A 23,795-nucleotide genomic window follows, 5' to 3' on the forward strand; every position below is an offset into this window, starting at 1 on the left:
CTCCTGAGTAGCTGGGACTACAGGCACCCGCCACCATGCCTGGCTAATTTTTTGTATTTTTAGTAGAGACAGAGTTTCTACCTTGTTAGCCAGGATGGTCTCGATCTCCTGACCTCGTGATCTGCCCACCTCGGCCTCCCAAAGTGCTGGGATTATAGGTGTGAGCCACCGCCCCTGGCCAAGAACATTATTCTTAAGGGAGGAGACCTGGATTTCAGTACCAGTTGTATTTTCTGATTAAAAGGAAAAATAGCTTGCCTGGTCTTAGATTCTCCTATAAAACAAAGTGGGTTGGTCTGGATGATCATTACATTCCCTTATCACCTTAGCATTTCTTCACAATCCTTTACTGTGCTGGTTATTACTGAAGAGTATTTAGTAGTACTGTAGCTCTGTAAGATTAATGTCAATGAGAGGCTGGGATTGAAGTAATTTCTGAGACCTTTAAAAATTATCTGGCTTGGGCCAGGCCCGGTGGCTCACGCCTGTAATCCCAGCACTTTGGGAGGCCGAGGCGGGCAGATCACGAGGTCAGGAAATCGAGACCATCCTAGCTAACACGGTGAAACCCCGTCTCTACTAAAAATATAAAAACAAATTAGCCGGGAGTGGTGGCGGTTACCTGTAGTCCCAGCTACTTGGGAGGCTGAGGCAGGAGAATAGCGTGAACCCAGGAGGAGGAGCTTTCGGTGAGCCGAGATCGCGCCACTGCACTCCAGCCTGGGCGACAGAGCGAGACTCCGTCGCAAAAAAAAAAAAAAAAAAAAAAAAAAAAAAATTATCTGGCTTTAGAATCTGGGTGTATGTGCATATGTATATGTGAACTAGGTAATGTTCCTCATTTGTCTACCTGATGAACTAAAAGCTAACGATGGTGAGAGCCTCCAAAAAGACCACTTTCCTTTGAATAGATAAACTAGATCTTAACAAGAGATTTTTCAAATGGTGTCAGCACTTTCTATTTGGATTCTCAAACTCCTTGTCCTTAATTCCATACTTCAAAGTTGACAACTTTCAGAATAGAGAAGTCATATTGAGTCTTTTCTCTTCCTTTCAGATAAATGGGATTCTGAAGTGAATGCTCCGTTCTGTCGAAGAAAAGAAATATGGATAAACAAATCTCTCCTTCTTTCCATTAGTCAGCAAACTCTATTTCTCCTTCTCCATTGGCTTAGTCTTTATCATTTCTCATTCAGCAATGCAACTGATGCCTTATTGGTCTCCTTGCGTCCAGTCTTCTTCCCAGTCAATCCATTTGAAAGCCCTGCTTTCGTTGTATTGTTCCACTTTGAACTCTCAGTAGCTGCTGGTAGCAAGTAGAAGAAACTCAGATGTTTTTAGCTTGGGATTCAAGGCCCTCAACACCTGTATCCAGCCATCTTTTCCCTGATAATTTCCCACCATTGCCTGACACACAAACTTTACCCCCAGTTAGTGTGGACTGTTTATACTCCCTGCAAGAAACTTATGCTTTCCTGCCTCTGAACCTTTTCTCACATCATTCCTGTCTCATACGTCTACTTTCTCTCTGCCTATCCAAAGTCATCCTTTGTGGCACAGCTCAAACCTCACCACCTCTATAAAACCTTTTTTTTACATCATCCAAATTTAAAGCTGACTCCTCTGAGCTGCTGTAGTATTTATTGTTTGTATTACCTGCTTAAGCACTTAGAATCTCCTGCCATATTATGAGAGGTCTTTTTCTCTTTCTGCCTTTCTTCCCCTATCATTAGTTCCCCTTGCATGGGCATATGTATATTTCATCTATCATTGAGTATTTTATACATAATAGTGGTCCTATACCATTTGCTGAATGTTGAATGTGGATCAAAGCTTACAGTGCTACTCATCAAGTGCTTTCTACCAGGTGAGGAACACTCTGATAACTTACTTGCTAAGTATTCTCTATATTTCATCACTTATAATAGAACACAAGTGATTTTTGACTACACAGTAAAATACAAATAGGAGGCTAGAAAGCTGAAGGAGGGAGAGCTTATAGACTTTCCTCCTTATGCATCTGGTACATTCTTTTGATTAAATCCTTTGTATACCAATAAAGTGTGAATGTTATCTAAAACAATCCCTTTTATTATTTTTATTCTTTCTTTCTTTTTTTTTTTTTTTGTGAAATGGAGTCTTGCTCTGTTGCCCAGGCTGGAATGCAGTGGTGTGATCTTGGCTTACTGCAATCTCCGCCTCCCTGGTTCAAGAAATTCTCCTGCCTCAGCCTCCCGAGTAGCTGGGATTACAGGTGGCCACCACCATGCCCAGCTGATTTTTGAATTTTTAGTAGAGAGGGGGTTTCGCCATGTTGGTCAGGCTGGTCTCGAACTCCTGACCTCAGGTGATCCACCTGCCTCGGCCTCCCAAAGTGCTGGGATTACAGGCATGAGCCACTATGCCCAGCCAATCCCTTTTATTCTTACAGAATGTAATTTATAATGCATTTTGGTTGTTGTTTGAGGCTTTTTAATATATTGTATTTGTTACTTATTATAGTTGTTGGAGTACCTTATGGCAACAGAACTCCTGGAGAAAGATTGACGAAACCAAATGAGGTCTAGCAGAGGGTTTCTAGAGACAATTAAATGTAGTAGTTACCACAGTGAACCTTGGAAGCAGACAGGCTTGGGCACAAATCCCGGGACAGGTGACTCAGTGTCATTCAGCTTTACATTCCTCCCTTAAAAATGGGAATATTAATGTCTCTACTTCACTGACTTGTGAGGAAGAACAGAGATAATACATGTGGATCATTTAGAACAATGTCTAGTGTAACCTTTGCTAATTATTAAGACAGAATGGGTAATGAGCATTGTGATAGGCATTTGGATGGAAAGACAGGGACTGAAGGAGAGAAATACTTACATATATGACAAATATGTACTGAGTTTCCAGGTGCCATGCACAGACAATTACCAATTAGGATTAAAGAGATACTGGGAAGGGAAGAATCATTGCAGTGAATATGGCTGGAGAGAATAAGTAAAGTCTAGGGTTATTCAATACATTTAGCAAAATACTGGTGGTACATAATAACAGAGGAAAGGAAAATGGCAGCTAATGAATGCTTGATGACTGCAATGGCTGGGCACTCACTAAACTAAGCCCCAAGACCTTAGAAGAAGCCCGGGAGAAATAAAGGATGGAAGAGGTGTCAGGCCATTACCCACTGCTTCTAGTTTACTGGCTTATTCTGAGCACAGAAAACTTAAATCCATCACACTTTTGTTCAGTTTTTTTCTATCCAAAAGGACATGTGAATTCACATACATGGCACTTTAGAGGTCAGGTGCCATAAATTAGAATGCAATGATGATTTACATACATTTCCTACACTGTAGCACCTCCCCAGGGTTGAATTTATCATTCTTTAAAATAGAGAGGTTCAGGTTGTGTTCTGTGGACATCAAAGTGAGAAGAGGAGTGATCAACCACATTAACTCCTGTTGCTGCAGAAAGGAAAAATTCTTCCCTCTACCTACTCTGGCAGTGGGGAATTGTGAATTTTCTCAACTGTGCATAAAACTGTAACTATTTCCGGCCGGGCGCGGTGGCTCACGCCTGTAATCCCAGCACTTTGGGAGGCCGAGGCGGGTGGATCACGAGGTCAAGAGATAGAGACTATCCTGGCCAACATGATGAAACCCCGTTTCTACTAAAAATACAAAAAATTAGCTGGGCTTGGTGGCAGGCGCCTGTAGACCCAGCTACTCGGGAGGCTGAGGCAGGAGAAGGGCGTGAACCCGGGAGGCGGAGCTTGCAGTGAGCTGAGATCACGCCACTGCACTCCAGCCTGGGCGACAGAGTGAGACTCCGTCTCAAAAGCAAACAAACAAACAAAAAACGAAAACCAAACAAACAAAAAAACTCTATTGCCATTGTGGGTCTATAAAAACCTACCCTTAAACTGAAAAAAATAAATAAAAACTTGCTGCAAAAAGGACACGTTGTGGTCTAATTAATGGCTGAAGGACAGTTCTATATAAATAGAAATTATTTTTCCTGATTGCTTATGATCTAATTGTCAAAATAGTGTTAGTATTCAATTGCCTGTATGAGTAATTACTCTATCATATGTAAATGTTTACATCTCCTCTTACATCTGAAACTTGAGTCACATTTTGAATATGTGAAGTGTGTTAGCTTCATATAGGGGGAAAAAAACTACTCGCTTATGAAATAATTGTAGGTCGGGCACCGTGGCTCATGTGTGTAATCCCAGCACTTTGGGAGGCCGAGGCGGGCAGATCATCTGAGGTTGGGAGTTCAAGACCAGCCTGACCAAAATGGAGAAACCCCATCTCTACTAAAAATACAAAAATTAGCCGGGTGTGGTGATGCATGCCTGTAATCCCAGCTACTCAGGAGGCTGAGGCAGGAGAATCATTTGAATCTGGGAGGCGGAGGTTGCGGTGAGCTGAGTTCACGCCATTGCACTCCAGCCTGGGCAACAAGAGTGAAACTCCGTCTCAAAAAAAAAAAAAAAAATTGTAGAAAAGGTAGATTCTATGTGAATATATAAAATGAGCTCCAAATGATGAATTAAAACAACAATATTTCTTATTCAGACAAAAATAGCATACTATTTGTCCCTAAAAATCTTAAAAAGATTTAAAATTTAAACTTCCTTGGGTTAACCTGCCAAGAAAGTCCAATAAGCTTCTGTTTTGACTGCAAATAAAAGCACACATACAACCAGAATAATCTATTTTTCTAGCAGCATATGGTTCCTTTGGGAACTTCAGAAACAACTGTGTTTGTATGCTTCAGAATTGTCACATGGGGAAGCTATCTGAGAATTCTCAAGGCCTGTTTTTATTAAAGGTTTGTAATTTGGGGCTTGGCCCTTGATTTTAAAAAATTTACATATTTTAGAGGACAATGTTATCTCAATTGGTTCCATGTAAACACAAACAATTGCAGCTTAGATATTTTAGTACACCAATGAAATGAATGAACTTTGTTCTGAATGAACTAAGAGGAATAAAGGTATTGCTTTATACCTGTCCCTAATTCAACATGTGTCACAATGACAAAGGTAAGCTAGCTGCAATTCATATGTAAATAAAGACTAAAGGTTTCAGATGTTCTATTTCTGCCTCCTTCCAATTTTAGTTATAAAACATAATTATCATTTGGAACTCAAGATGAATAGATTTAGCTTAAAGCTTTCTCAATTAAGATTATGTAGTATTAGAATTGCTTGTTTATTTATTTATTTACTTTTTTTTTTTTAAATTAGAGACAGAGTCTCACTATGTTGCCTAGGCTGGAGTACAGTGGCTATTCACAGGCACAATTATAGATAACTAACTATAGCCTCTAGCTTCTGGGCTCAAGCCATCCTCCTGCCCCAGCCTCCCCAGTAGCTGGGACTACAGGTGTGTGCCACCATGCCCAACTGATTTATTTGTTATATTTTTAATTTTAGGAACACTTTAATAAAGTTCAACAACACATTTGGATTGCTAAAAAAATCCAAACTTGTAAATATTTTTCTCCCATACTTCTAGAGGGCTCTCTTAGTGAAGAAGAAACAGTTATCTGTTAGTTTCATCTGGTTTCTCTCTCTTATTACGTCTAAGTAAATGTAAATTTAATATTTTTATTTAAAAATAGCATGCATAATATGTATCCAGTTTTATAAAATTATTTCTATGTACCAAGTTATTTATGCACCGATCACTCCTAATATCTGAGTGTCTACATAGAGCTGTCAAGAAAGATGTTCACCTAATATTAATGATGGTTACTTCTTTTTTTTTTTAAGTTCAGCTTTTTATTGAACACGTTATAAAAGAGGTTTAGTCAAAAAGACCAAGGCCCATGTCATCATCAGACTCCTTGGATTCTTCTTTCTTTGCTTCCACTTTCTTCTCCTCAGCTGGAGCAGCAGCAGTGGAGGGGGCAGGACGTCCTGCTGGTGCAGCACCAGCTGCTGGAGCAGGTCCACCAGCCCCTACATTGCAGATGAGGCTCCCAATGTTGACGTTGGCCAGGGCCTTTGCAAACAAGCCAGGCCAAAAAGGTTCAACATTTACACCGGCTGCTTTAATGAGGGCATTGATCTTATCCTCCGTGACTGTCACCTCATCGTCGTGCAGAATGAGGGCCGAGTAGATGCAGGCGAGCTTGGAGACGGAGGCCATGGCACGGGCGAGTGTAGGGCAGGCGCTGCCGGACGCGGTGCTAGTCGCAGGATGAAGTGAGGGCCTTACCCCAACGCGGCCTTAGCTTCCTCGGAAGGACCGAGCAGCTTGGCGGCAGCTGAGGGAAGGGGTCGGTTTCTTCTACATAGTAAGATTTTGTTGACATTTTTTTCTTTGTAGTGATTTTCTGTTTTGCTTAAAATTTAAATAATTAAATTCAGAAATAATAAAGTCATTACTTTCAAATATAAGAAAAAGGGCAAAATTCATCTGGTAGCCACAGTCATTGCATTTATTTTTGCCAGTGGAAGGTCCCAGAGGAATTAGATAATGCTTCTCATGTGCCAATTCTTGAATAATTAAATAAAAATGTCTGTGATATACATGGGTGTACACATGAGTCAAATAAATGATAGATAAGGTCTATCATTCATTTCTTCAACAGGGAATTGAGCATTTGAGTGTCACATATGTTCAATTTTCATCCTACCAGTTGGAAACAAGTTCTGAATTGTGTTGATAAAAGTGGAATTCACGATTAGCAAAGTAATAAGAAAAGTATACCTTTAGCTTAAGTAAAATGGAGAATCCAAGAAATGTGGAAAACTATTCTATCATTTTTCTATACTTATAATACAAAATTAAAGAAATGTTAAAAGCAAGTTTATAAAGATATAGGCACACTTTTTAAAGGATGCATATTTTTAGTAAGCTTTGCAGTTTTCTAGGGAGCAACACTAAAATATTCTTTAATTTTTGTTGTAGCAAGATTTATAAAATTTGATAGTGGTCTGTGTAACATACATACAAACACAAGTCTAATTAAGCCTCAAGAAGGTTAGTAAGGGTTAGGTAACCATACTAAGAAAATGCTAGTCCTTCCATTAGTTTTATTTAGAAGTTGGCTTATTTCACTAGCAACTTGATCACTCGGGGTATGCCTGAGAGGACTTAAAACAGATTTTTTTTTTTTCCAGATGGGGTCTCACTCTGTCGCCCAGGCTGGAGTGGAATGGCGTGATCTTGGCTCACTGCAGTCTTAACCTCCCAGGGTGCAGGTGATCCTCTCATCTCAGCCTCCTTCCTGAGTAGCTGGGACTACAGGCGCGCACCACCACACCCAGCTAATTTTTTGTAGAGATGGGGTTTTGCCATGTTGCCCAGGCTGGTCTCCAACTCTTGGAATCAAGCAATACGCCTGCTTCAGACTCCCCAAATGCTAGAATTACAGGTGTAAGCCACTGCACCTGACTGTCAGATATATTCTTTTTCTAATGGTATTAGGTATCTTCATTTGGCTGAAATTATTTAAATCCTTTGGAGGATCTATTACATAGCTGCCATTGTTTTGGCTTGCCCAGTATTCGTTTTCTGTCCCTCTAACGACCTGACACTTTTTCTGTGGGAAAAGGAACAGCTGATTCCCGTGCCCGTGATGGTGATACCTGCCCTGGCGCCTGTGCCAGAATTACATTCCAGGTGTTGCTGTTGCCTCCTGCGTGTGGAGTACCCTCCGAACCTAGTTTCCTAGCCCTCCTAGAGATAACTAAAGTTAATCATTTTTCTTTTTTAAGCTACCTTTAGTGGGTCCAATGTTTGCCACTCAGAACACAGTGTGATGCACTACCCTCAAGGAACTTACAAACTCAGTAGAAAGGAAGATTGGATAAGTCCAAAAATAATATTAAGTGCTTTATTGGCACTTCACATGCTTAGGACTGTGTCCACACAGCACAAAATGAAGCGGCAGGCTGGCAAGCATCCAGTTGCTTTAACAAATTTGGCAATGCATTGAAAACATAGGGCTACAATGTCGATCATAAGATTTCTGGAGAAGGGAACTCCACAACTTCCACTGGTAATTGGCTGCTAGCTGCTTCACAGACTCTGGCAATGGAGAAGTGAAGTCATTCTTTTCCCCCTCCATCTCTTTTGGTTCCTAAGAACTTTCCTTCTCAGCTCAAAGTGGGAATTTTGGACTGAGTGATGACAAAGATCCCAATACTAATTGCTTCTGGCTTAGTTTCATGGTTGGATTAATTTTAATTCCTTCTGTTTCCAAACCCTTCTGTGCTCCACACTGCACTTTGCATACATCTTTATTATAGAACAATTGCTGTTTATTGCAATTACCTGTATCCATGTCTGTCTCCTCCAGGGCAGGAGATATAACATATTCATCTTTCTAGCTCTAGCTTCTCTACCATATTCACTTTTGCTGTGTTGGGTATTATACTCATTTTGCATATTGTAATTACTGAAGAGATTTTTAAAAAAGACTTGTCTGTTTGCCCACTTTGGTCCTGCTAGAAGGTACTCCATCCCATGCTTGGGTTACAGTGATGAAGCAAGAAAGTCTGTCTCTGTCTCTTCTTTTTCTGAGACTCTTCCGGCCACTAACAGCCTCTCTGTACAGGCCTACCAATACTGTCCAGTCAGTAGTAGATTAAGGCAGCTCTAGGTTCTAATTAGCAGTGTTCTATCTTAACCTAGCTGCTTTTAAAACTGTATACAAAGTTTAGTGTACTCTTCTGCATGTATGTTACATTTTACAATCAAAAGAAGTGAAATAATGTACATTTAAAAATATGTCATCTCCTAAATGAGAAAAATGAGGCACAGAGATGTGGCCTGATGGCTGAATGTACAGCCAGGATTGAAGCTACAGTCATCAGAACTTTTGTGTTCCTAATAGCTCTCTGGGTTTCTTGAAGCCAGGAGGAGGGGAGAACATCAGGTTACAATTAAGAATCTCTCGGCTGGGTGCAGTGGCTCACGCCTGTAATCCCAGCACTTTGGGAGGCTGAGGCAGGTGGATCACCTGAGGTCAGGTGTTTGAGACCAGCCTGAACAACATGGTGAAACCCTGTCTCTACTAAAAATACAAAATTAGGTGGGCGTGGTGGAGGGCGCCTGTAATCCCAGCTACTTGGGAGGCTGAGGCAGAAAAATCCTTTGAACCCAGAAGGTGGAGGTTGCCGTGAGCCGAGATCAGGCCATTGCACTCCAGCCTGGGCAACAAGAACGAAACTCCATCTCAAGAATAATAATAATAATAATAATTACTCTGTTGAGGTCTGAGTGATAAAATGTCACCTGACACCAAAAGCACTGCAGTTTATGTCCCCACAGTAGAAAGAAGGGAAGGGCTGCCTGGTGATGGAGGGACAGACTGCCAGTGGGGCCCTTTCCCACTCACCCACACTCTACCAGTCATTTCACCATTTTTTGGTTTTGTTTTAGTAAAGACTCTGGTTAAAGTATACATACTCCTCAAAAGGGGTTATATATTAACCTACTATATTAGTTTTCCATTTCCATGTACAAATTATCTCCAAACTTAGTGGCTTAAACCAACAGGAAGCATTTGTTAAACCTCACAGGTTCTGTGGGTCAAGAATTCTGGAGTGGCTTCACTGGGTGATTCTGGCTTAGGATCTTTCAGAAGGTTACAGCCAAATGTCAGCTGGGCTGCAATTTGACTGGGCCTAAAGGATTCACTTCCAACGTGGTTCGCTTATGGCTGGCAGGTCAGTTCTCTCCATTTGAGTCTCTCTGTGGGGCTGCTTGAGTATCCTTGCAACATGGCTACTGGCTTCCTTCAAAACAAGCAATCTAAAAACCCAAGGTAAATGTTGCAATGCCTTTATGACCTAGCCTCTGAACTTGTATGCTATCACTTTGGAATGTTCTAGCAGTCACACAGGTCAGCTCTGATTTAGTGTGGAAGCGTCTGGACAAGGACCTGAAGATCTAGGATTGAGGATCACTAGGGGCCATCTGGGAGGCTGGCGACCACACCCACCTTTAGCTCCAATTTTAATTTCAAGTTAGCTCAGAAACAGGAGAAACATGGGGGTGGACTGAGGTATGGAGGGAGACTTTAAAGTGGCCCCATTGGGAGTGATAGACCCAAAAGCAAGCTTTATCAGCCTTTCCTTGCCCTAAAGGCAGCTTGAATCAGGAAGAAACAGCCTTTGAAGGAAGTTACAGACCTCAGAACACACCCTTGCCTAAAAAGTATAGATAATATGATTCTTCCTTTAAGGAAATTGGGTACAGCTGTGAAACTCTTGACAAATTTCATGATAATCACTGTTATCTGACTGGGCAGCAGTTTTAGTGGCTGCTGCCTCTACCAAGTTGCAGTGTACAATAGCAATGTGGTCTCCTCGTGACTTACTGTCTCTGTCTTCAGAATGTATTGAACAATATTAATTCATTGGTGGTTGTTTTGAAAAACAGGTTTGTCATTACAAATATGATATAGGTTGGGTGTGATGGCTCATGCCTATTATGTAATTCCAGCACTCTGGGAGGCTGATGCAGGAGGATGGCTTCAGCCCAGGAGTTCAAAACCAGCCTGGTCAACAAAGTGAGACCCTGTCTCTACAAAATATTAGAAAATTAGCCAGGTGTGGTGGTGTGTGCCTGTAATCCCTACTCAGGAGGCAGTGGCAGGAGGATCCCTTGAGCCCAGGAGGCTGAGGCTGCAGTGCACTGTGATTGCCTCACAGCACTCCAGTATGGGCAATAGAGGGAGACCGTGTCTAAATAAAGAAAGAAAGAAAAGAAAATAGAATAAAAACAAATATACAGTATACTTATTTCCATGTTCTATTTTGCTTTAAAATGTTTATTAGTATGTTTAAAAGCTGGTGTAAGATCCTCATAGATGCATTAATCAACACGTTCACTTGCTCATTTTTCTTTTAATTTTAGTTTTCAAAAATACCCAAAGGCTACATCCATTACAAGGTAATGGACTGCAAAATCTTATTTAATTGCAGTGAACATATTCACTGAAATTACAGAAAAGGAAAAATATGTAATTCAGTACTTCTATCAATTTAAAAGAATCAAAATAACCTCTGGTAATGAGCAAGAGAGTGATTCTCCATGCTCTCCCTCTCCATCTCTTCCTTCCTTCTCTCCTCACTGTAGCTTTGTGGATTTTAAGAAAGCAGGAGACCCTGGGCCAGAGCATCTTTTGTACTCAGAAGGCCCTGGAGACCTGTGGTTGAAAACTCCTGGGAGATGGATGTATCTAACACTCTCCTAGCTTGATTTTGATACAGGGCTTTAGAGTGACTCACCAATAGCAATTTCTAGAGCCTTCTGCAAACTGAGAATGCTTAGCCGCTTAATTGTGCCAGGGGATCCTTGGGCCATGAGCAGTTGCACTGTCTATGAGTTATTCTGTTGTGTTCTCTATTCATTTCTAAGGTGGCGTGAACCTTTTTTGAGGTGACTAACTATGGCCTTACTCAAACCAATGGTCTTATTTATGATTCGTGAATTGTCTTATTTTAATAAAATATTTTCCCAGGAATTTACAAGTAATAATTAAAAATAGATAAATCATACAAATTCAGGAATACTTTGTACACTCCAAATTTTCTAGCAGATCCTGATATCATTACAGATACAACTATATTTAATTCAATCTAAGAGGGTTACTTCAAACTGAATTTTCCTGCTGTCTACTTCTGGTTCCTCAGGGATCCTATAAAAAATCCAAGGAAATTCCTTGCTGATTGCAGAGATATTAGACTGCAACATATGGTCCACACATGTCATTAGTATTCCTCTAAAGAAAAATGCAAAGGATTATATTTAGAATACCGGGTATGTGTTCAGTGGTTTGAGGTGACCCAGGAGATTATTATATTCTTCTTGTGGAATTTTCTGTAGTTAAAAGATGAATCCAGAATTCTGACTGTCTGGTTTGGACACGAGTCTATCTGTAAGTTTTTGCAGGTGGGAGGCCTGCCAAATTTTCATTATTGGGTGGTGTCTTAAAATCTATTCATCCTCCTCTTAAGGAGAAGATTTTTCAAGTTTCAGAGTTTCTCAGATATATTTTAGAGGAGTCTTTAAAATATTTTATTTATGTTTTATTTTTTAGAGACAAGGTCTTGCTCTGTTACCCAGGTTGGAGTGCAGTGGTGTGTTCATAGCTCACTGAAGTCTCAAACTCCTGAGCTCATGTGATCCTACCACCTCAGCCTCCTGAGTGCCTGGGACCACAGGTTTGCACCACCATGCATGGCTAATTTTTTTTTTTTTTTTTTCGGAGACGGAATCTTGCTCTGTCACCCAGGATGGAGTGCAGTGGTGCAGTCTCGGTTCACTGCAACGTTTGCTTCCCGGGCTTAAGCAATTCTCTTGCCTCAGCCTCCTGAATTAATAGAGATGAGGTCTCACTATGTTGCCTAGACTGGTCTTGAACTCCTTGGCTCAAGCAATCCTCCTGCCTGGGCCTCCCAAAATGCTGGGATTACTGATGTGAGCTACTGTGCCTGGCCTAGAGGAGTCTTTCGACACAGGTACCTTCTAAAGTAAAAAATTAATTATTTATGAATTATATGTCATTGGCCCCCAAATAAAATGAGTTGAGCTTATAATAGTATTGCTAGTTTTGCATCTACCTTAAATAATTCTAAATTTCAATTCTTCTTGTCCTCATGCTTTTTTTTTTTTTTTTTTTTTTTTTTTACCAGAGTCTTGCTCTGTCGCCCAGGCTGGAGTGCAGTGGTGCAATCTTGGCTCACTGCAACCTCTGCCTCCCAGATTCAAGTGATTCTCCTGCCTCAGCCTCCCGAGTAGCTGGTATTACAGGCGCCCGCCACCATGCCCAGCTAATTTTTGTATTTTTAATACAGACAGGGTTTCACCATGTTAGCCAGGATGGTCTCGATTTCCTGACCTTGTGATCCGCCCGCCTCAGCCTCCCAAAGTGCTGGGATTACAGGTGTGAGCCACAGCTCCCAGCCACCGCAATTATATTTGACCATATATGATGGTAGAACTACAGAATGGGTATCTTAGTCCATTCCAGCTGCTAGACCAAAAGTGCCATAAACTGGGTGGCTTATAAACGACAGAAACTTAATGCTCACAGTCCTGAAGCCTGGGAAGTTCAAGATCAAGGAACTGGCAGACTGGTGACTGGTAAGAGTCCTCTTCCTCATAGGTGATGCCTTCCTTCCAGCTATGTCGTCACATGGTGGAAGTGGCAAAGAAGTTTCTCAGACCTCTTTTAAAAGGGATTAATCCCGGCCGGGCGCGGTGGCTCACGCCTGTAATCCCAGCACTTTGGGAGGCCGAGGCGGGCGGATCACGAGGTCAGGAGATCGAGACCATCCTGGGTAACACGGTGAAACCCCGTCTCTACTAAAAATACAAAAAATTAGCCGGGCGAGGTGGCGGGCGCCTGTAGTCCCAGCTACTCCGGAGGCTGAGGCAGGAGAATGGCGTGAACTCCAGGGGGCGGAGCCTGCAGTGAGCCGAGATTGCGCCACTGCACTCCAGCCTGGACGACAGCGAGACTCCGTCTCAAAAAAAAAAAAAAATAAAATAAAATAAAATAAAATAAAAGGGATTAATCCCATTCACATGGGCCTTGCCCTCACGGTTTAATCGCCTCCCAGTGGCCCTACCTTTTAATACTTTTACATTGGAGATCAGGTTTCAACATAGGAATTTGGTGGCGGGGAGGACAGGGGCACAGACATTGAGACCATAGCAATGGGATATGATTTCTGATGAAATTCTGACACTAGCTCAATCCTGGGAGGCCATGGCTGATAAGCCAGGATCACTTGCTACTTTGGTCCAAGGCCTTGGCTAATGAGGTCTTCTCAGAAACTCCACTGTATCTTCCCCATTTTCTAGTAAAAATGCCCTGTTCTGCAATATAAACTTGTTTTGCATGTATCCAACTTAAACCACTAAAGTCCTGAATAATGTAAAGCCTTCCAACAGGCTATATTTGGCCTTTTCACCTGAATATCCTACTCTCAACTCAAAATCAGCATCTCCTGCCCATTTCACCCCTCCAATAAACTTGGTGCCCTTCCCAAAATTGCCCGACTGCTGTCACTTGAGTGACAACTATTTCTCCTCACTTCTAGTCACTCAGGTGTGAACTGTGGGGTACTATACTTTTCTTCACTCTCTTAGACTGCTTCTTTTTAAGTTCTTTTATTTTTCTCTCAACAGTCTGTATTTGCTTTTCATTTTCCTCTTCATTTTCTTTTTTGTTTGTTTTTTGAGATGGAGTCTCACTCTGTCACATGGCTGGACTGCAATGGCACAATCTTGGCTCACTGCAACCTCCGCCTCCCAGGTTCAAGTGATTCTCTTGCCTCAGCCTCCTGAATAGCTGGGATTACAGGCATGCACCACCATGCCCGGCTAATTTTTAGATTTTTAGTAGAGATGGGGTTTCACTGTGTTGGCCAGGCTGGCCTCAAACTCCTTTCCTTAAGTGATCCGCCCACCTTGGCCTCCCAAAGTGCTGGGACTACAGGCATGAGCCACCACGCCCGGCCTCCATTTTCCTCTTCTTTAACATCACATGTGAAGTTTTAATTATAGCTATTTTCCACAACTTCATGTCCTCATCCAATTCAGCCTCAATCCCACTGCCAGTGATTCATCATAAGCCATCTTCTTCTCTCAATTTTGCTACTGTCCTGGACTCTAGGCATACTATAGCAAGCTTAATTTATTTTATTTCACTCTCAAGGGCCCCTTCTTGTAAGAATCTTCTCAATCTGTCTAGCCAGATTTCTCACTACTGCCAAAATAAATCTTTTACTTCAAAGTGAAGTTATTTTTTAAGATGGGATCTCATTGTGTCACCCAGGTTGTAGTGCAGAGTCATGGTCATAGCTCACTACAGCCTCCAACTCCTGGGCTCCAGGGATCCTCCCTCGTAGCTGGGACTATAGTCACATGCCACCACACTGGCTAATTTTTAAAGCACTTTGTGGAGATGGTGTCTTGCTATGTTGCCCAGGCTGGCTCAAACTCCTGGGCTCAAGCTGCCTCGGCCTCCCATGTTGCTGAATTTCAGGTGCGAGCCACTGCACCCAGCTTTAGCCAGGTGAATTTTCCATTGCCTTTTATTCATATTGAACTCTTACTTGATTCTAATTTTTTTTTTGAGGTGGGGTCTTGCTCTGTCGCCCAGGCTGGAGTGCAGTGGCAGGATCTCAGCTCACTGCAATCTCCACCTCCCGAGTTCAAGCGATTCTTCTGCCTCAGCCTCCCGAGTAGCTGGGATTACAGGCATGTGCCACCACACCTGGCTAATTTTTGTATTTTTAGTGGAGACAGGGTTTCACCATCTTGGCCAGGCTGGTCTTGAGTTCCTCACCTCGTGATTCACCCACCTTGGCCTCCCAAAATGCTGGGATTACAGGCGTGAGCCACCGTGCCCGGCCTGATTCTGATTTTTTTAAGGATTTTTTTTTCCTTTTGAAATATTCTTTTCCCAACCTTCCAAGTCCACAAATTGAGACCTCTGACTATCCTTTCTTACAGTAGTTTCTTCTTTCCATGCACTTCAAGTCAACAAAACAGATCAGAACCATAAAAATGTCTTCACATCCTTTGATCTAGTAATTTCAGTTCTGGAACTGTATCCTAAGAAATTAACAATTGACAAGTTAAAAAAAGCTCCTGTGCACAAAGTTTCTCCTCCCATCCAATATTATTGATGATAGTGTTGAAGAATTGGAAACAAATTACATATCCAATAATGGAAAGAGATAATTATCATACATCACTCTATGAAAATTTTGAATGCACTAAATGAATATGATAAAGACTATGTGATTCTATAAATTAAAAAAAGTAAGTTAACTCAAAAGTAGAAACAAGGTAATACTGTATTTGTATAGATACTTTAAGTAATGGAAATCTTAAACAAGCTTGATTATTCTGCTTTTAAAATTGTGAATAAAGATAATTTAACAGTAAATGTATTTCTGTCAAAAGAAAAACACATCCATAACTAGTTTTTTAAATAAATAAACTCAAAATTTGTTTAAAATATTTAAGATCTCTTATGTGCCTATAACATTCTAGTTACTTTATATGTCACTTAATCCTTACAGTCTACCTGGTGAGGCAGGGATTATTAGTTACATTGCATTAATGAAAAAAACAAAAAACAAACAAACAACAACAGCAAAGAAGTTAAATAATTTTCCCAGGATCACATAACTAGGAAATGATAGGTTCAAAATGTTCAGCTGATTCTGCTGCCTGACAATCTAATATGAAACGAATTTAAACACATCTTCATTCCTAGTGAAATGTCCATTGTTGATAACTTAATTATTAAGTAGGGTGACTATTATAAACCCCAAAAAGTAGAGGACAAGAGAAGGAGATAGAGAAAGAGTTTTAGAATTATTGACATGGACTTCTTTCTAAGATTAGTCAGAAACACTTGGTGAACAGGGTGCCTTCTGGGAGCTCTGGTTCACCATTTTAGCTTAAAGTTTATGATTCAGAGGTGATAATGGTAAAACTGTTCAAACCTTTGAGTGATTTGGTTAAGATATAACCTATCAACAAATTCAGACAGAAGATTAGATGCTACCATCTTACTGTAGACGAGCAGTTCAGCTTGGTACTTCATGACACTTTGGTCTCAAGTAATCTTTCAGCTCCAAAGGTAATTGCTTGTCCAGCTTGGGGGTATTTCTGGAATGGAATAGCTATGTTTTATGTATGGATCATAAGAATCTATGGGATTTTGGTAATCTTTGGCTGCAAATAACAGTTTGATCTGCAAAATAATCTTATTAATAAGCTAATTTTACTGAATTGATAGCACTGCTAACCACTTGGAAAAGAGTATTTTAGAGATCCATGCATTTTCCTCTGGGATTTAAAAATACAGATTCCTGATTGAAAAGAACAGGTGAAATATTGTTGAGGTTCTTCCATGCAATCCAAGTTGTGAGAGATGGCCTAGACACCATGGATAAAGTACTAGTGAGAATCTGGATCTCACAGTAATTCAGTTATTAGGTCAACCTTTCTTTATCCAAACTGTACTGTATTTTTCAGAGCTTACTGACAAATAAGTCATTAATCAAGGAGATAATGTTGTGCATGCCTAAGAGACCCAAAATTTATTTCACATTGCTGTGGGCAGAAAAAAGTTTGGTGGTCAATTTTGTTACTCACCAAACACCAGCAGATAATCCTCAGAACAATCCCTGAGGGTAGAGTGAATTGGGGATATAGTTCTTAGAGAGCCCTTTGTTGCTAGAGTGACCAAGATGGCCAAGGAAGGAGTGGGTATCTGTTGTGTGAGAGGAGGGTTGAGTTAAGAAGGTGGCACTGAAGCTCATGTACAGCCAACTCTTACCAAGGTAAAGGGAAATGGAGCTGCCTCTCTCCCTTCCCCTGCACACAATGCAGGCTTCCTGTTGCATTGTTTTGACTTCTTTTTGCTTTCAAGTCTCCCTACTGGGTGGGGAGGTAATAGAGAAATCTTAACTTTCCCAGAGATGATCCTAGATGTTGTTGCACACTTTGGAGAGGCAATGCACTAGTTAAAATGGGTGGTTTTGTGAAAACCTTTCCTTGGCACAAAGTGAGAAGTCCAAGGTTTGGGAGTGCCTCGTGTCCACCAGCACATCTTAGCACTGTTACTAACACCTTGTTAAATAATTCAGTTGTGAGGTATTTGGTAATGTGGCATTAAAATCCCAGACAATTTTTAAAAAATGAACAACTATTTAAAAATTATATATGAACTACTGTTTTTCAAAATGAATTTCTTCCTAATGGTATCACCATCTATATCTTCCGAAGTTTTTGAATTTATGTTTCATTACAGTTGGACAATCTATAAGTCCTGTTCAAGACAACCTATATTTTAGAGAGACTTATTAATATCACCATTTTATATATTCCTTTATTTTAAATTAGACACTTCTTTATTTTAATTTACAGTTCTTAATGTGAGCCGCTTCAGGGGGACAGGAAATTATAAAATTAGTAAAGGTGTGTGAAATGTCTAAGAGCGTTCACCTACTCTCCTATCTGAAAACCTTAACTCCGTGGTAGAGAGGAGAGGATTGAGTCTCTTTCTTTGTTTCTTCTTAAAAATCCTTTTAAGCCTACCTACACTCTCTTTTTCTATGAAAATTTAAAAACAGATATGGATTCTAAACATATTTTGAGAATTCTACTCATTTGGATCATTTTCAAGCTAGATAAATACTGATTCAACTTGGGTGTTTTCTTAGCTTATGTTTGCTAAAAAATAATGCAATATTTTACTTTTGCTATATATCACATGAGCAATGTATAGGTTATAGGCCTAAGTATGCTGTTTAGGGACTTTATTATGAAGAAATTTTGGTTTGTCCTGTCATATGGGTTGTAACATTGAATGCTGTTATTTTTAATAAAAGGATGACTTTTGTCTATCATTTTATTTCCTCTTCACTAGGATATAAGTAGAGTCAGATGACTTTCTTAAGACTGTGAAGAAAAAAGAAATATTATTCCATCAGTGACCTTTGGCAAGCAACTGATCTCTTGAACTATTCTTGTCTCTGGAGTGTTTGACCAAGAATTCTTGTGGTCAAGCCATCGACAATCCAAATGTCAAACAACAGTGTGGCCATTTTTCATCTCAAAATAAGTGTTTCTCCAATAAGATGATCAATTAGTCTTATTCACATTGCAACACACCTCTCTGTGTATTTTATGTCATACAAAGATCTCTATAGTCCTATTAGCTTCTTATTAAAAAAACCTCTTCATTTAGATTTCAGGCTATTAGAACACATAATCAATCCAAGCATACCTCATGTATGACCTATGTGTATTGACATTTTCATTATACCAATACATTCTACAAAGGTGGTATTATTTTTAAAAATTCTCTGTTTCTCAAGAATATGAACTGAAGTCTTTCACAGAAAATGTCACATACTTGATAAAAAATAAAGTTCTAGGAATGGTCTTTTTACTGAAATAAAACAAATTTTATTACAATTCCTTAGAATTCTTTTTTTTCACCTGGAAACAAGGCATTTCATGGAATGCTATATAAGAAGAAATTTGAAATTTGTCTTCTTTTTGCTAGAAAGACACTTAAGATACTATACTTTCTTCTAGAGAAAAGCCTAATATGGGAAATATTAGGTGTACATTTTGAGAAGAACTCTGACAGCATCACTCTGTATTACTTTTGGAAATTTTTGACTGCTCTTTGGGGTTGTGTGGATACAGATAAAACCACTACTTCAAATGCAGCCCGATTTAAAATATGAACTATGGAAAAAAATTCTTGTTAATGGTAACATCATCCACATTTACCCAAGTTTTGAAATTATTCTCTATTACAGTTGGGCAATTTATAAATCCTGTCTAAGAGGTACCTACATTTTAGAGAGGTCTATGAATACTATCATTTTAAAGGTGTCTTTATTTTATTTATTTTTTGAGACAGAGTCTCGCTCTGTTACCCAGGCTGGAGTGCAGTGGCTGATCTCGGCTCACTGCAAACTCTGCCTCCCGGTCTCAAGCAATTCTCCTGCCTCAGCCTTCTGAATAGCTAGGCTTACAGGCGCCCACCACCACACCTGGCTAATTTTTTTGTATTTTTAGTAGGGATGGGGTTTCGCCATGTTGGTCAGGATGGTCTTTAACTCCTGACTTCATGTGATCCGGCCACCTTGGCCTTCTAAAGTGCTGGGATTACAGGCGTAAGCCACCACGTCTGGCCTTCCTTATTTTAAATTAGTGGAATTTTGGACAGGCATGGTGGCTTATGCCTGGAATCCCAGCACTTTGGGAGGCCGAAGTGGGTGGATCACCTGAGGTCAGGAGTTTGAGACCAGCCTGACCGACATGGTGAAACTCCAACTAAACTAAAAATACAAAATTAGCTGGGCAGGGTGTCACGCACTTGTAATCCCAGCTGCTTGGGAGGCTGAGGCAGGAGAATTGCTTGAAGCCAGGAGGCTGAGGTTGCAGTGAGCTGAGATCATGCCATTGCACTCCGGCCTGGGTGACAGACCAAGACTCCATCTCAAAAAAATAAAAAATAAAAAATAAATAAATAACTAAATGGAATTTTTAAAGGCTCTTTCTGAGAATGTTACTGAATTTAAACTGTTTCAAATCCTTTTTGGAGGTGTAATAAAAATATATGACTAAATATATATGTATGGTTATATCTGTGTATAGTGAGAGAGAAAAATAATTCCATGTTCATGTCTTTCTTAACAGAAGTCAGAAATTTGAAACATTTAACATATTCGAAGCTGGTTTAAAATAATAAAATAATACTTTCTTATATTTGAAAGTGAAACAGCAGTTCCAAAGAGCATTATAAATAGAACAATCTTCATTGATTCACTGGTTTATTAATTCTTTCTTTCCTATGATGAGCCAGTGACAAGCACCTATTCTGGGCCAGGTATTGTAGGAGGCACTGGAGATACAAAGATAAATGGCAATCTGTGCCCTCCTGGAGATTTTTTCTTCCTGGAGTTTTAATGTTTAATTTCAACAGCGCTTTTATTAGGAAGGAAAGGCAAGAGAGGAGAGGAGGAAAATGTCTAAAAAAGGGATGGAAGCTTGAGTCAAAAGCTATTTGGCTTTCCTTGGGAGGTTCTGAACCTATTCCATTATTATAATTGTCTCACTTCTTTACTTTTCCAACTGAAGTGAAACATAGCCCTTTTCTCTCATATCAAGATAGGATTAATAATCAAAAGACAAGTATGTGGGACCTGGATTCAGATAGGTATGGGCAGAATGTTGATCCTGCTACCAACTCAATTGTACCTTTCTTTAATTTACATAATTAGCTTGTTTGTGTATTAGTTTCCTCATCACAGAATGGGAATAAAAATATCAGTTGGTCCTTGGTAAAGGCTGATTGTTTCCCCTTCTAGTTTCTTCTTTTCCCTTTGAGCACTGAATAGCATTGATTTGAAAATAAGGCTCCAAACAAAATGTAAAATAATTGAAACCTAAGAATTGTATCTTTCAAATGATGTAGCGTAATTGCTAATCTTTATGTTTTATAAGATGCTGGAGTAAAAGTGATGTCAAGGCCTGCTAAATCCTTGGTCTGGCTGTGAATTTTTGGCACTGATCCAGACTAAATATAGCAAGTCTTGCTTCTTGGGTCAATATAATTTCTAATCTCTAGGTTGAATGGGCAAACCTTCCCAGACAAGATTTAATTCACAAATCCATTTAGGTAGATACTGGATATATCTAACAATGCATCACCAAGTAATAACAGGTCATCAGCACTAGCTTGGCTAACTAAAAAGAAACTTGCATTAGGAATCCAGCAATCTCACTAACAAACCCTGCTGGGGATTGACTAAACATAACTGTTAATTGAAAAAAAAATTAAAATAGAGTATTATGGATATATTCTCCCACTGATAGTTGCACGTAATTTCCCTAAGTGTTAATGGAAGCTGCACAAATGCATCACTGGAAGAGTATACCTCTTAACAGCCACAGTCATCTGTCAGTCTTCCATTTTACAGACTCTTAAAGGTCGGTGGAAAAGGAAAGAAAATCTCATAGCATTTTCAAAGCTTTTTAAGCAAGAGAAGTCCTTTATACTTACCAGTTCACCACACCATAGCTTTAGCTTTAAAATGGCTAAACTGTTTGGAATCACAGTTTCTCATCCCTGGAGAATGGATTTTGCTCTTTATCTTTCTAGATAATGTTAATGGGATTTCATCTAACTTATTTTATGAAGGACAAGTTTTAAAAAGAGAGGCCTCTCTGATATACATGGGCATTAAAGCACTTCTTTTTTTTTTTTTTTTTTGGCCTAATCCAGAATGTCTCTAAATTGCAGGACTTAAAGAAAGCTGAGAGCAGGCTTTGTGCTCTCAGAGTTTTAGTAAAAGTTAAATGTCTTTGTTTTTCCATTCATTTTTCAATGAAATAAACAAGTCTATATTTTCCAATTTCTCCACTAACTGAAATCAATTTCTACAGTGCATGAAAGTTATTATCACAATTCAGTGTGAAAAGTCAATGAGAAATTTAAGACTGCTGTTTCTATGACCACTTCTAATGATCACCATGGCAGCTTAGACTGCTTAAACAATATTACTGTAAACCAGGCCGAAACCAATCCTTATCCATTTCTGTGCAACTTTTCCCAATGCAACAACCATTCAATCTGAGACTGAATAAGCTATACTTTAGCAATTTATTTGGCTTGTGGCTGCCATTAGTTCTCTATGATTGTCTTAGCAAATTACCATAAACTCAGTAGTTCAAAACAACCCAAATTTATTACCTTATAATTCTGGAAGTCAGAAGTCTGATTTGGGTCTCACTGGGCTAAAATCAATGTGTTGGCAGGGCTATGTTTCTTTCTAGAGGCGCTAGGGAGAATCTTTTTCCTTTTCTTCCCAACTTCCAGAAGCACCATACTCCTTGGCTTATGGTCCCCTTTCATCTTCAAAGCTAGCAACAGCTGGGCAAGTCCTTCTCACATCAAATCACTCAGACACTCATCTTCCACCTTCTGCTTCCACTTTTTTTTTTTTTTTATTAAGTCTCGCTCTGTCGCCCAGGCTGCAGTGCAGTGGCGCGATCTTGGCTCACTGCAACTTCCGCCTCCCGGGTTCAAGCGATTCTTCTGTCTCAGCCTCTCGAGTAGCTGGGACTACAGGTGCATGCCACCACACCTGGCTAATTTTTGTATTTGTATTTGTATTTTTTGAATTTCATTTTATTTATTTATTTTTTGAGATGGAGTCTCGCTCTGTCACCCAGGCTGGGGTGCAGTGGTGCGATCCTGGCTCACTGCAACCTCCGCCTCCCGGGTTCAAGCAATTCTCCTGCCTCAGCCTCCCGGGTAGCTGGGACTATAGGCACGTGCGACCACACCCGGCTAATTTCTGTATTTTTAGTAGTGACAACATGGGGTTTCACCATGTTGGCCAGGCTGGTCTTGAACTCCTGATCTTGTGCTTTGCCCACCTTGGCCTCCCAAAGTGCTGGGATTACAGGCCTGAGCCACTGTGCCCAGAAATTTCTGTATTTTTATTTATTTATTTATATTTATATTTATTTTATTTTATTTTATTTTTATTATACTTTAAGTTCTAGGGTACGTGTGCACCACATGCAGGTTTGATACATAGGTATACATAGGCCATGCTGGTTTGCTGCACCCATCAACCCATCATTTACATTAGGTATTTCTCCTGATGCTATCCCTCTCCCAGCCCCCCACGCCCTGACAGGCCCCAGTGTGTGATGGTTCCCTGCCCTGTGTCCAAGTGAGCTCATTGTTCAATTCCCACCTATGAGTAAGAACATGCGGTGTTTGGTTTTCTGTCCTTGTGATAGTTTGCTGAGAATGGTGGTTTCCAGCTTTATCCATGTCCCTGCAAACGACATGAACTCATCCTTTTTTATGGCTGCATAGTATTCCATGGTGTATATTTGCCACATTTTCTTAATCCAGTCTATCACTGATGGACATTTGGGTTGGTTCCAAGTCTTTGCTATTGTGAATAGTGCCACAATAAACATATGTGTGCATGTGTCTTTATAGCAGCATGATTTATAATCCTTTGGGTATATATCCAGGAATGGGATTGCTGGGTCAAATGGTATTTCTAGTTCTAGATCCTTGAGGGATTGCCACACTGTCTTCCACAATGGTTGAACTAATTTACACTCCCACCAACAGTGTAAAAGCATTCCTATTTCTCCACATCCTCTCCAGCATCTGTTGTTTCCTGAATTTTTAATGATTGCCATTCTAACTGGCGTGAGATATCTCATTGCAGTTTTGATTTGCAATTCTCT

At 40.1% G+C, this 23,795-nt stretch overlaps 1 pseudogene; it reads right to left on the reverse strand.

Annotated features, from left to right (window-relative positions):
• Positions 5,774-6,286, reverse strand: RPLP1P4 (ribosomal protein lateral stalk subunit P1 pseudogene 4; annotated as a pseudogene).

This window comes from Homo sapiens, chromosome 2, assembly GCF_000001405.40.
Source record: "Homo sapiens chromosome 2, GRCh38.p14 Primary Assembly".
NCBI classification, from domain to species: domain Eukaryota; kingdom Metazoa; phylum Chordata; class Mammalia; order Primates; family Hominidae; genus Homo; species Homo sapiens.